At 40.0% G+C, this 14,550-nt stretch overlaps 1 pseudogene across 1 annotated transcript; it reads right to left on the bottom strand.

Annotated features, from left to right (window-relative positions):
• Positions 1-4,795: 4,795 nt before the first annotated feature.
• On the bottom strand, positions 4,796-14,077 carry PLGLA (plasminogen like A (pseudogene); annotated as a pseudogene). The gene is made up of 4 exons (NR_003506.3): positions 13,970-14,077; positions 9,776-9,911; positions 8,526-8,632; positions 4,796-5,285 (listed from the first exon to the last, which is right to left on the bottom strand). The product of NR_003506.3 is annotated as a plasminogen like A (pseudogene) (transcript).
• Between the last annotated feature and the right edge of the window lie 473 nt (positions 14,078-14,550).

Raw genomic sequence — 14,550 nt, 5'->3', positions numbered from 1 at the left:
AATCATTGCATATGACAAAACAAAAGTTTAAATTGGCGTTTGTAAACTCTGCATGAAAGCCAGGTTTCTCACTACTAGAAAAAGAAAAAAAGTTATAAATAAGCCAAAGAGAATTCCAGAATGAATCCTGTGGTGCCAAATATATGTTAACTACAAGGAATAACAGTGACCTTACACTGGAAACACCTTAACCATGGGCCAAGGTTAAAGATATAACAGCATTCTCACACCCCTTGCACAGCTACCCCCAATGTTAACATAACTGTTAACAAATTATCAAAACTAAGAAATTCGTCTTGGTATAGTATCACTAACTAAACTCCAGACCTCAGTCAGGTTTTCCCAGTCTTTCCTTCAGTGTCCTTCCTCTGTTTCAGGATTCAATCCATGATCCTTGACACTTGGTACTTTGTCAGATGTCCCGCTGTATGGGTTTGTTTGATGTTTTCCCATGATTAGGGATAGACACTGCAAGACTCAGAGCTACTTTACAAAGAAGCCTCTAGGGAGCTCCCCAGAGAAGACAGGGGAGACAACACAAGGACACTAGAGGAAATTTTAGCCTCTGACATCCATGACTATATAGCAAAGAGTAAACAAAGCCTAACTCCTAGCCAGAGAAACACAAAATCTCATACTGAAGCCTTATTTAACTCAGTTCCTTTCACCCAGTACATCATATACAGCCTCAAACAAAAAATTACAAAGCATACTAAAAGACAAGAAACCCCACACTTTGAAGAGACAAAGCAAGCATCAGAACCAGACTCAGATATGAAAGAAATATTGGAAGTATCCAACCAGGAATTTAAAATAACTAAGATTAACATGCTAGGGGCTCTAATGTAAAAATGGCATAACATGCAAGAACAGATGGGTAATGTAAGCAAAGAGATAAAAACACTAAGAAGAAATAAAAATGAAATACTAGAAATAAAAAACACCATAACAGAAATGAAGAATGCCTTTGATGGGTTCATCAAAAGAATGGATATGGCCAATGAAAGAATCAGTGAGCTCAAAGAGATGTCAATAGATACTTCAAAAGCTGACACACAATGAGAAAAAAGAATGAAAAAGAAAAAACAGAACAAGAGTCAAGAACTGTGAGACAATTACAAAAGGTGGAACATGGAGACTTTTTGGAAATACCAGAAAGAGAAGAAAAAGAGAAAGAAAGCCAGGCGTGGTGGCTTACACCTATAATCCCAGCAATTTGGGAGGCCGAGGCGGGCAGATCGCAAGGTCAGGAGATCGAGACCATCCTGGCTAACACGGTGAAACCCTGTCTCTACTAAAAATACAAAAAATTAGCAGGGCATGGTGGCAGGCGCCTGTAGTCCCAGCTACTTGGGAGACTGAGGCAGGAGAATGGCATGAACCTGGGAGGAGGAGCTTGCAGTGAGCTGAGATCGTGCCACTGCACTCCAGCCTGGGCAACAGAGCAAGACTCTGTCTCAAAAAAAAAAAAAAAAAAAAAGAGAAAGAAACAGAAGAAACATTTGAAGCAACAGTGACTGAAAATTTCCCCAAATTCATGATAGATAAAGCTATGGTCTGAATGTTTGTGTCTCCTCAAAAGTTATATTGAAACTTAATCCTCAATGTGATAGTACTGAGGTGGGGCTTTTGGGAGTCAATCAGGTTACGAGGGCTCTACCCTCAGGACAGAGATTAGTGCACTTATGAAAGAAGCCCCAGGGAATTAGCTAGCCCCTGACACCATGTGAGGACAAAGCCAGAATGTGTCATCTATGAGGAAGTAGGGCCTCACCAGACACTGCTAGTGCCTTGGTCTTGGACATCACAGCCCCTAGAACGGTGAGAAATAAATTTCTGTTGTTTATAAACTCTCCAGTTTATGATATTTTTGTCACAGCAGCCCAAATGAACTAAGGTAGACATAAAGGAACAGATCCAGGAAGCTCAAAATACATCATTTCAATAATGATCTTTAAAACTTTGTTTGAAATTATACTGATCATTCTGCTGACTGCTGAATGACCTGGCACCGTCTCAGGGTTTTAGTCTGGAGTTTTTGTTTATGCTCATGGCCTCACGGAGAACAATATTCACCTGAAGTGACGGTGCTTCTCTTTTTATGTTGTTGAGAAGCATGATTGGCTCTTTTTTTGCAAAATTATTCACAAACTTAAACTTTGATTCAGAATTATTGAAGTAACATGGTGAGGCAGAGTAATATGTGACTTAAATTTTACGGAGTACTAAGGAAAATGGGCAGACTTAATATAAAAGTGATGCATTGGTGGTGCTTAAGGGCAAATACCGATAACATGGTGTACAAATAAAGGAGCCCGATGATTCAAACAGGTGGAAGTGATGGGAGAACTGAGTTGTCACACAGTACCATATCCACACTGTCACAGAAATCTCACCTTTATTTATTCCCTTTTGCACTAACGTAGCCAGAAATGTGAAATGATGACAGTTTTTTCAGTAGGAATTTTTTTTTTAGTTTTTAGCATTGACCTTTGAGGTGCACTATTAAATTGCTCAGTCCATTAAAATAACGGATTGCTGATTTAAAAACTGGTTCCTTGCTTAGCTTCAGCAAAACAGCAAAGTCTACCACATTAAATGTATATTGTTTATTTGATTTTTATTGACTTTGTTGTTTTATTTTAACTACTTAATTGCAAATCTGTCTTGGGGTTAACACTGTGTAAGAGTTTTAAGCATAAGAAGTTTGTACTTAGAGTTTAGATGTAGTTTTATATTTGTACATGTTGATGTAACATTTTAATAATAATAATAATTCAGGTCTGCTGGGCATGGTGGCTCACGCCTGTAATCCCAGCACTTTGGGAGGCTGAGGCGGGCGGCTCACCTGAGGTCGAGAGTTCAAGACCAGCCTGACCAACATGGAGAAACCCTGTCTCTACTAAAAATGTAAAATTAGCCAGGCATGGTGGCACATGCATGTAATTCCAGCTACTTGGGAGGCTGAGGTAGGAGAATCGCTTGAACCCGGAGGCGGAGGTTGTGGTGAGCCGAGATCGCACCATTGCACTCTAGCCTGGGCAATGAGAGCAAAATTCTGTCTCAGAAAAAAAAAAAAAAATCAGGTTAATTCTGGGATCTGAGCAAAGTTTTGCTCCTTTCCGAGAGGTGAACACGTTACGCAATTATTAATAATATCCCTGTGGGAAGGGGCTTTACAACAAATTATTTTACAGGTGAAGAGCAGAAATGAAAACATTTTCTAGAGCCACTCCTGCCCTTCACACTCAGGAATGTCGCAGTAGTCATATCTCTGTTCTGGATCAGTAGTATAACACCAGGGCCCCTGCGCATCGTTGTCTGGATTCCTCCAGTCCCTCTGAGGGGTGTGTAGCAGGTGAGAATCTGGGGAGGATGGAAGAGAAGCACTTAGACTATATTCTAAAAATCAGCTTGCTATTAGCAAGGCAGAAGGAGATGCTCTCGATTCCCATCTGAGATCGTCATCCAAATGCATTTCAGCTGGGTGCTGCAGCATTTGTGTGGTCAGATTTTCAATTTCTCTATTGATAGGCTGCTTCTGGCACAGTAGCTAATATTACCATTGCTACTGTGACAGCCAAGTCTTAGACAGAGAGCCAAAATATTTTTATTGCACAGTCAGGAGAAATAGAAAGGCCTCAAAAGCCTGCCATGGTCTTAATTCATTCCAAACACCTGCTTTTGTCAGTTGCCCTTTTCTCTGTAAAAATTTTCATAGTTAACACCATTTTGTCCATGTGAACTATGTGCCAGGAATTCCACTAACATCTTTCCACACATTCTCTCTTTTAGTCCTAATAAAAAAAACCATTTGAGGAAGGTGTTATTATCCCTATTTTACAGATGAGAAGACTGAATGGCAACGTAAAACAAAACAAAACAAAACTTGCCTAAGCGTAAATAGCTATGAAGAAGCAGATCAAGAATTCAAAGTTGATCTGTCTGATTCCAAAGTCCTGGTTTTCTCTGAAATGCAGCTTGAATTATTGGGGATGGAGGAGGGATTTAAACTTATTTTCAGTTCTAGAGATGAGTTGCTGTATAGAGACAACCATTTAGATGACAATCACAAGACTTACAGTCTAGAAAGGCAGGTTTTATTTCTGGTTCTTCTGTGAACCTATTTGGGGTAACCCCCACCCCCCAAGACCTCAGTTCCCTCATGAAGATGAGCCTAGACTACCTCATAAAAATGGCCCAGAGTGTCTCCATGGCCCCCGATAGTCTCTGACTTCGCCATTTGGTTGAATCAGTTTTCATTAACTCACGGGGAATATTTGATCTGCTCATCTCATAGGGATATAGCAAAGGCAATTTGTTGAGTGTTGGGGGAATGGATAAAGGTGAGTAACAGGCACTAAGTTCCTATTTGATAAGTGTCATTACTGAGAACTTAATGCCACCTAACACCAAACTGGGAAAAGCACAAAAAAATGCACTAAAATAAATAATAGGCAAGTTGCGACATTTGAATTTCACGTATCTTCATTGTCATTTTTATATTTTATTTACTATTTTGCTCCACAATTTGAGTCAAACATGTGATGAGAGTTCTAACTTGATATGTTTACTTCAGTCCCAAACATAGTCATCTTTGGTCTTTTCTCAGATTTGGCCTAAAACTCGTAGTTTCATTGATTTTTTTTTTTAACTAGGCATTCTTCTATGTTCTAGGTCTTCAAGAAACCTCCATACCCAAGAAAAAATAGAAAGCAACGATGTTCTACTATGGTGCCAAAAATAGTTGAACATCGACATCAAAAAGATTCTTTCTGTCTGCTTATTCACATATTCTGGTTTGAATTAAAAGTGATGAAATTATCCTAAATACAGTTGGCCCTCTGTATCCATGGGTTCCACATCCACAAATTCAACCAACTGTGGATGGAAAAGACTTGAAAAAGATGAGAGAAAATAACAATATGACAATAAAACATAATACAAATAAAAACAATACAGCATAACAACGATTACATAGCATTTACATTATATTAGGGATTGCACAAGAGAAGGTATGTAGGTTATATGCAAATACTGCACCATTTTACATAAGGGACTTGAGAAGCATGGATTTTGGTAGCCACAGGGGTCCTGGAACCAATCCCTCACAGACACAGAGGGACAACTTTACAGTAGATGAACACAAAGATGAAAGGGAAAGTCTTACCTAGGTCTGCGGGGAGAAGTGGAACTCCATTTTTGACAGGTGATGCCATTTTTTGTTTTGGACATCGTCCCTCTGTAGTTCTTTCCATTCCCAGTCTTGCACTCTGAAAGATACACTGAAGGAAAGTCCACACAGCGGTCAAAGTCTTTCACAAGACACCACGTGAAGGTCTGCACAGCATAGTCACGTTGAGAAAAAGATCTCATGCACCAGACCCCCTGTTTCTGCTTTCTAAAAGATCATCTTTTGCATCTGCAAAAAGGCTGCAGTAAACTGGGCCATTCCATACTTTGATTCATGTATTCAAATGCTACTTATGAGCTCTCTGTGTATTGAGCCCCACCAGGATGCTGGGGACACACGGGGCACAGTGCAGCCAGAGGCTTGGCCGTCATAGAGCTCACATTCTAGTGGAATCAGGCAGGGGGGTTACAGGAAATATTCAAGGAAACAATATAAAATGAGATCACTTAATGATGATACATGTTACATACATGATGAGACAGAGTAAGAGAATGGGGAAAGGGTTTTTAGATGGGGGAATGGCAGGCTTTTCCGAGGCTGAAAGAGATCCAACCCACTTCTATTTCTTCAGGCTCCCAGTGATATGAAAAAGTGCCAAACAGGGCTATAAAATTGTGGTCTACTGTAAATGGTTTGCAGTAAAAGTTCTCAACCAGCTTCCACTCAACCAACTCACCAGTTAGACAATGGGCCCTCTCCTGTGTTTAAAACAGTCTGGTGCCCACCTGGGTCCACATGCAGCTGGCAGGTGTTTGCTAGTGTGCCCACCCATGTCTGTTCCCCCCACGTGAGTTATGTGCTTACAACGAGTCATTTCTTTGCATTTTCCAACTTTCTTACATTTATATTTAATTAAAGATGATCTAAACTGAGAAATGAATGTGAAAAGGAACAAAGCTCTTTTTTGTTTGGTTTTTAACTAAATTAAATGTTTTTAACAAGTTGAAACGTGAATCATTTAAAAAATTGCTATCAGATCCACAGAGGGCAATCCACTCATATAGTTGACTGTAAAGCTTGAGGAGGAATTCATAAAAATCTAAAGGTTTTACACATGCAGATTGATTAATAAATGTCGAGATATGGTCCACTTCAAAAATAAGGAAAGTAATTATTGTAGATGTTGCACTAGAGCATAGTTTATGCAGGAAATGCACCAGAGACCTTCTACTGGTGACCCCATATTCGAAGAAAAAAAGCCTCTGCTCTACATCAAAAGGTGTCAAGTACACTTGTGTTTTCAATGAAAATATAAAATGTTTAAGGTATATTTGCACCATCATTTAAGGTTACCCACTTTAGCCATTTTTAAATTCACTGATCAATCACATGGGGAAAGTACTCCTAACATACCTGCAGCAAACTAATGCTTTTAACCCAATACTACGTATTATGATTTCCAGTATATCTTCATTGGGACATAGTATTACAGTAGACATAAGACACTCATCAAAGTGTAAACTCAAGGTACTTTGTGAAAGGGAGGTCTAGGGGTCAAGGAAGATTTGCAAAGGAGGTGATGATTGAGCTGACACCTAGGTGATAAGAAGGAGCTGGCACAGCAGGACAAAGGTGAAGAGGGTCCCAGGCAGGAGGGCGTGTGCTTGGGGTGGTGAAGGAACAGAAGTAAGGCCAGAAACTTTGTAGAAAAGTTTAGCAAGCCAAGCAAACAGCAGCCGGGGGTTATGTAAATAATGCCGGGCCCTGGCACATTTGGGAAGTCTTTGGGTCTTATTTTAAGGGCACTAGGAAGGGCTTTAAACAGCGAAGTTACATTTCTTCGAGATCAGGTGTACAGCTACAAGTAGCCCTAACCAGTGGTGATAGGTTCTTGGACTCGGTGAAGGCAGTGTGGCTGGTGGCAAGTGGCAGAAGTAAATGTGATCTAACACTGACTGTTCCTGGCAAAACCCTGGCAGGTAAGTTAGCAGCAGGTCAATATCCCACAGCAAAGAAACAAGGACCAAAAAATGACTGACTTTTGACTTTTCACTTCTTTTTCGTTTGTATGTACCCACCAGAGTTTATATAAACTTTTGCTCCCTTCTGTCACTTTGAAAACAAGCAAACTAAGCCTTCAAACTTCAGACTTCAAACTCAACCTACAGTCATTCCCATGTTCCTTCTGGTTAACAATTTACAAATGACATATTTAAATGTTAGCATTTTGTAGAGAGAATCAGGGGAATCAGGGATTTTTGTTTTTGTTTTTTTTTTTTTAAATCTGGTACAATTAGGTGATCCTATTCAGTTTACCATTTGCTTGCTACTTGTAAGAACTAATAACTGCACCAGATAAAGTTTAGATTTAATCTGTACTTTAATCTCAAGAATTCGAGATAAATAGTGGTAAGGAAGAAAGTACAATGCGTACAGCTAATGAAACCCAGGAAGATGAGTCAATGCATATAAATAATTCCAACCCAAATAAATACTATTTAAAATGCTACTTAGAGTTTTGCCGTGATACTAGACACAATATGGCAAATCATCCTCAAGAATACAAGAACTAAGGTGTTTCCAGTCCTCTTTAACACCTGTGATGCAGAATATTTGGAGAGCTAAATTGTTATTATTAACGGTCTTAATACCTGGCCACCAACACAGTAGAGGAAACAGTTTTCAAAGTGTCATACATCTCTTCAAATATTCATACGCTTAATGAAACATTTGCACATCTAAAAAGGCATGCAATTTCTATTGAAATCCTGTGTGCCCCTTATTCTAAGCAGTGGGACTATTGACCCACATTTTAAAATAAACTATAGAAAAGGGACTGTAACTTTTACACATTTTTAAAAGACAACATTTCAGAAATCTGAGAAAAATATAGACCATGTCCCCCAAAATGTGAAAAATTTAAGAGTAAAAAATAAGATTTGTGTCCCAATCTAAATGTTTCTGAGGATTAAAACACCTCAGTATTTCTGTTTTACAAGGCTTCATCCAGACGTTAGGGCCCAAGGACCATGGTCACCCTGCAGAATAAGAAGCCAAGACCAAAAGGAATGCTTAGACTTCCCATCTCCTTGTTAAATATAAAATAATATTTTAAAAATCTTATTTTCAGGGTCATAGAGGTAGAAGTGATTTTGTAAATCTAATCCTTTCATTTTTTGAACAACAAAAAAATTAAATCTAGGAGGTGAAGTAATATACTCAAGCTGACATGGTTAGTTAGTAATCAAATCCTGTCCTAACTCAGAATTCAATTTTACAACACCATAGCGCCTTCCTCCTCTGGTCTCATAAATTAAAGATAGAATAGAGAAAGAGGAAGAGTGGGAGGATGGGGAGGACAGTAGGAGGAGGAGGAAGAAAATGTACTCACTTTACTTTTCAAATAAAACTACATCTCTCATCCTAATGATTATGGAGGACTTCTTGTTTTCAGCCATTATCACACATTGTTGCTCTTTACTGTGATATTGGAATGCCCTGCAGAACGAAGCAGGAAATCCAATAAGTATTTTTCTTTATTTAAAGAAAACAAATGTTTATTAATAAGTGAGAAATGCTAAAGATCATTGAATATCTTGGGGGACCAGAGAGCTCAGAATTGCTGCCTCTTTCAGTTATTTGGGCATGGCATTGATGAAGTACTGAACAAAATACACCAACGTGGCAGTAAATCTTATCTGCCCTTACCTTCCCTCCCTCATAATTTTCTCTTTCTTTCTGTTTCAACTGCTTTACTTCTTCTTCACTCATCTTCTTAATTTTTGTTTTTGGGTCAGAAAGAAGCAACTCTGGTTGCTTTGAACCCATTCCCCAAGATAGTCCATCTCCATGACCTCCCAACTCTGATCAGTTCCCCTGAACCTCTGCTCCACATTCCACCCTGCCCTGGCCCCTGACCCCTCCCATCTCCATCCCGTGGTCCTGCTATGGGTGCTCAGTCTGGCATCCATAGCTACTTTCCCAGGCTCATCACCTACACAAAGTCTCTGCTTTAGTCAACTCGATCTCTTAATGGTCCCCCTCAGAAAGTGCAGGGCCGCATCTTCCCCTGCCTTCCTGGTGCTTTTCAAGAGCTCTCTCAACTCCAAACCCAGCTCGGTTCCCACCTCCTCCCTGAGCCTTCTCTAGCTGCCTCAACCTTAGGCACTGTTCTTTCTTCTGGATCTGGGTAGAGCATGCATTGATTATGCCTGTACCTCACTTAGGCTGTCTTTTTTTTTTTAACATTATATCCAGTCACCTTAAATACTGAAGGGCAGGCACTGGATCTTGTAGCTATAAGTCATTGCTCAGATCTATCTAGGACACTTTCATTCATATGATCCTCAACAAACATTTACTGATGATGATGTTAAAAACTGGAGCTCAGAATAATAACTGCTAATGTTTATGTCCGGTGTAAAAACAAATAACTTCCTTTTAGGGTATTTTTCTAACGAAGACTCCAATAAACCTTAACAAGAAGCTGTTAGTATGGCTTCACATACTATGAGCAAATATAGTTCCAAACTCTGGCTCCATACATTTCTCTTTCCTCTTAAATCGTTAATAAATTTGTGAGTAAATTACTTGCCATCTGAATTACAGATTTCTGGGTAGGTGCAACGACGATGAAAATACCTGCAGGTGAATTCTTTGTCCTCCTCACATTTTGCTGCACATTCTTCTCTGCTTCCTGCCCCCAGCTGCTTCTTAGTGACACTGAACAGTGAAGCCCCCTGGGCATTTACATAGTCATCCAGAGGCTCTCCTTGACCTAGAGGTGGGAGATCCAAGTGGAATAAATGGTCAGTAAATCAATGCCGATGTCTAATTGTCATGACTTCCTTTTAATCTATTTGGTTTCCATTAACCAAATAAAACTTGCTGTTTACTGGAAGTAGAATGGGTAGCTATGAATCAAAATGTTTAGTTAAGAACACACAGTTGGGCATGTGGACATAAATAAAGATGGCAACTAAAGACACTGGGGACTACCAGAGAAGGGAGAGAGGGAGCGAGGCAAGGGCTGAAAAACTACCTATTTAGTAGGTATTTAGCTCACTACCTGGGTGATGGGAATCATTTGTACCCCAAAGCTCAGTGTCACGCAATTTAGTGATGTAACAAACCTGCACATGTACCCCTGACTCTAAAAGTTGAAATTATAAAACAAAGAAAAACAGTTTCATTAACAGATTGCAAGATAGTAAAAGATTAACTGGATTGATAAACAGGTTAGAACTATGGAACCACTACTATGTTACCATATTAGTGGATATAAATCCTTAAACAAGAACAAATTTTATGTTTGCTATCAATTGTTCCATGTCATGAGAGAAGAGTAAGGCACCATCAGTGGCAGTTGTGTTACCAAGATTGATGTTGATTTGTTCATCCCTGGGTAGAAATGGAACTTGGAGGCCATTGTTTGATTTCCTACAATATGCGCTTTGGTTCTGACACTGTCACTTGAACTGGTGGGAAGCATCCTCTGAATGGTCCCTCCTTGAGACACATAAATTTTGGTGCATAGATGATGGTGGAAATAAACAAGAACTGAACTAAATTATGCTGCCACCTTGGACAAAAATTGGGCAAAACACTGGAGGGTAAGAAGCTCCCCAACAAAGAAGGCCATTTTTGTACTGGGCTGATGACAGTCACACAACACTACTAACTGGGGAGAAATCAGTTTTTCCAAGGTGTTGATAGGTATCTGGATTTCGGAGGAAATTGTAAAAAAGCAGAACCTGGGACAAATACTGGTTTTGGTTTTTCTTTGAGATCAAATCTGAGACAACGAATCTGTCCGAAAGCTGCTTTCTGCCTGGTCGTGGCAGAGGGTGGCCAAGGGGGCCTCAGCTGTGCTCCCACCACAAGGCTACAGGGTGTTCCCTTGTCCTGAGGCTCTTCCGGACATCTGGCTGAGCTTTGGCAGGTCTATTCCAAGCCTGGAGATGCCAGCGCCATCCTTTGCACAGAATGCTAGTGACTTTCACAGGGGTAAGAGGCCAAAAGAGGCTAATAAAATGAAGATATCCAAGCTCCATGGAATTAGACAACAGGACAACCTTGACCACTTTGAGGGGCGTGGTGGGGGCCGCAGGCAGAGGGAGTGGGTTATAGAGTGACTAGGAGAGCAGTGGAGGCGGCAGCAGGAGACAAGCCTGGCTCTGAAGACAGCGAGCCCTCCAGGGAACATGCGGTCAGGGGAGGTTCTGAAAGACGACACACTGCAGAGCGCATTGGTTTGTATGCTGATGACAAATATCCAGTAGGAAGGCAAATGAACAGATTCTCATTCTCAGAAAGGCCCGTCCTGACCTCCTGAGGGTACACAGAGCACAAGGGGCAGGACAGGGAGGAGGATGCATGCTCATCGATTCATGCAAAGTCCTCGGCCAAAGTCCCCCTGTTCCCCACCTCTTGGACTTTGTCCTTCCTCAATTTAAGACATTCCAGGCTGGAAAAATGGATTATTGAGCAGGAGTTGGCTGATGCATTCTAAACCTAATCCACTAAAAAGCACTTGAGAGATGTATCAAAAGATCACAAAGAAATAGATGCTTTAGGCCCATATCCATGTCTTTACCCCGCACTTTCTGCCAACTTGAACTCTCATTTCCAAGAGGAGTTGTGTTTTGGTTAATTCTATAGCTCACAGCGTGACTTCAAAACACACAATAAATCCACAAAGTGTGTCCTACGGTGAGTTCAGTTAAACTTTCTGAAGAGTTTTTTTGAAGTATAGCAGAGCAGGCTACAATTGATATTCAAAAAAAGAAAACTTCCATTTATTTCCCCCTTCAATTAAGTTCTCTGTGTCATGTTATTATGCTTCATAGCGCATCGCTGCTGAGATCCCCTCCCCAGCTCCTGTCCCTAGGAAATATCCCAAAACAGAATCAAACTTTTTTCTTTTTAATTTGAAATAATTTTCCCCCATTTTTTTTTCTCTTATTCACCTCTAGGACTCATATGGCAATAGGATTTGACAGGGCTTATTTGCTGGCAAGGAAACATCAAACAAATCTTTTAGTGGAAAAATACATTTATATTATAGGCAAAATGCAGATGTATATTGCTACTGATGCAAATGTATTTTACTAATGGTGTGAGAATTTCTTCCTCACTGTGGTGTGTGAATGTGTATGCATATTTGCATGCGTAAAAGACTTAATTTGTGAAATGGAAGATGTTTCTCCACTTCCCACTAAGCATGGCTGTAAAAGAAACTTTTTCCTCTCCCCGGGCATTGCAGCACACTGGAAAGATGATACATCCACAGAAAGCCTGGCTTTCCGAAAGAGCTTATGAGAGAATGTTCCCCCCAGGTTGGTTAAAACATATGTTAATCCTGTGGCAGAGAAGTTTGTTCTAGCCTTTGGGTGTAGCCCACTGAATAAGTTCACAGTGATCTATGTCATAGTTTCCATGCATTGAAATATAATATTCATACCCCCCAACGTACATCAATTTCTTACAAAAATTTCTCTAATTTTCTCCTGCTCTGTATTTTGTTTGATAGCTCCTTGAATGGCTTCCACTAAATTCAAATGTATTTGACTCTAAAGTGCAACTTGTAAAATTTTATCTGGTAATTTATAGATTGAATTTCAAGTATACATTATTTACATGAAGAACTACTAGCAAATCGTATGATTCTGTTTGTATGAAATGTTCAAAATGGCAAAGATATAAATACAGAAAGTAGATTAGTGGTTGCCAGAAGCTGCAGATCAGGGGTAACAGCTAAGGAGAGTGGAGTGCGTTTTGGGGGGTATGAATAGTTTTAAAGTTTATTCTGATGGTGGCTGCACAACTCTCAACGTATTGAAATCCATTGGATTGTATGCCTAAATGGGTGAATTCTATACATTAATTATATCTCAATAAAGCTTTTTTTTTTAAAAAAAAAGAAAAAGAACTACTAGGACATGTTTAGAATATTATTTCAAAGGCTTAAACAAAGCTGAGAAGTGAGAAGAGCCCTAGATTCCTTCTGGGAAACCTGGCTTAAATCCAGTTTTCTTTATTTCCCAGATATGAGAATTTGGTCACTGAGCAAATAACATGATTTTCCTAAGTCTAGATTTCTTTGTTTATAAAATGAGGATGAATATGCTACCCTACCTATACCGCGAGCTAAATAAGCTAGTATTTGTAAAGGACACACACTCACACTCACATTCACACACAGGTATGTATGTATGTGTAAAACTGTAGTGACCTAACCCAAGCACTGAGTATTTGTTGAATCACTATCTGCACACAGCATCTGGCAAATGGATGCGTGTGATTTTTCTGGGGATTAGAGGCAAACGTATACTGATGGAAAGCCTTCCTCAGGCCATAACAAAGGGAGAAATGCTGAGTCCCTGACCCTGCCGCCACCATGAACTGGTGAGAGAACAGAATATATTCAAAGAGAAATTTCATTGTTTTAACTTGCAAGTGAGGGGAGCATGACACCGTTAACAGAGATTATATAAATTAGTCAAACTGAGAACCAGGCGAAGAGCTTAGCCGTCCTTTGCATAGTTAGCTACATTGGCTCTTTTTCAATTAGACTGGCCATTATGTGGGTGCACTCATTTAGATTTGAAAAGTCACCCATTATTTTCTCTGTGTATTCATTCCAGCACCCTGACAATCTTCACAGGAAAACTAAACTTATTTCTTGAAGAATTCCTCAATCTTATACAAGATTTTCAACTGGGAGTTTCATGAATCAAAAATTAAATGAATTGCACATAAAGCCATGGCATATGTATTTGTACTGCATTGTGGGAGAAAAAATAATTATTATAATTTAAAAAAACTATGTCTTACCTGATTTCAGAAATAAAAGAAGTAGAAGAACCACTTCCTTATGTTCCATTTTGGGACTGGCCAGCAGTGCCCAGAAAGTGTGTCCCAGTCCCAGGATGTTGTTGACTTACATGAGAGTAAACGCATCCACAAACCAGATAGTCAAATTAAGTTAATGATTCTCTCAGACACCCACGCCACTGGCTCAGCAGGGTTCAAACATAACCTTGAATAAAGGGTCCTTACAAAATGATTGAGGGTGGAATCTGCAATAGATGCTGGGAAGTGGTGAAAGCAATCTCCCGCCTCAGCTGCTCCACGCTGCCTTCATGTCTCCTTACTCCTTCCCTCACCCTTGTACTTCATCTCTCACAATTAGTCTTATTTCCTCCCCTCTTCTTTTATTCCCTTTCTTTTGGAGAAAATGAACTCATAAAAGTATCTCACATTTGCTGGAACCTTCCATGACAAGACCCTCTGCCAAGCACTGCACGTCCATAGCCTCCCTCAAGCTTCCCAACAGGCAGTGCTGTTCTCATTCCTGCTGTACGAGGGATGGGGTTGAGGCCTTCCCCAAGGTTGTGTCGCTACCCAGGGGTGCA

Source organism: Homo sapiens, chromosome 2, assembly GCF_000001405.40.
Source record: "Homo sapiens chromosome 2, GRCh38.p14 Primary Assembly".
In the NCBI taxonomy this organism is placed as follows: Eukaryota; Metazoa; Chordata; class Mammalia; order Primates; family Hominidae; genus Homo; species Homo sapiens.
Note: the sequence above shows the minus strand (reverse complement) of the source record. Positions and strands in the feature narration are given on the sequence as shown.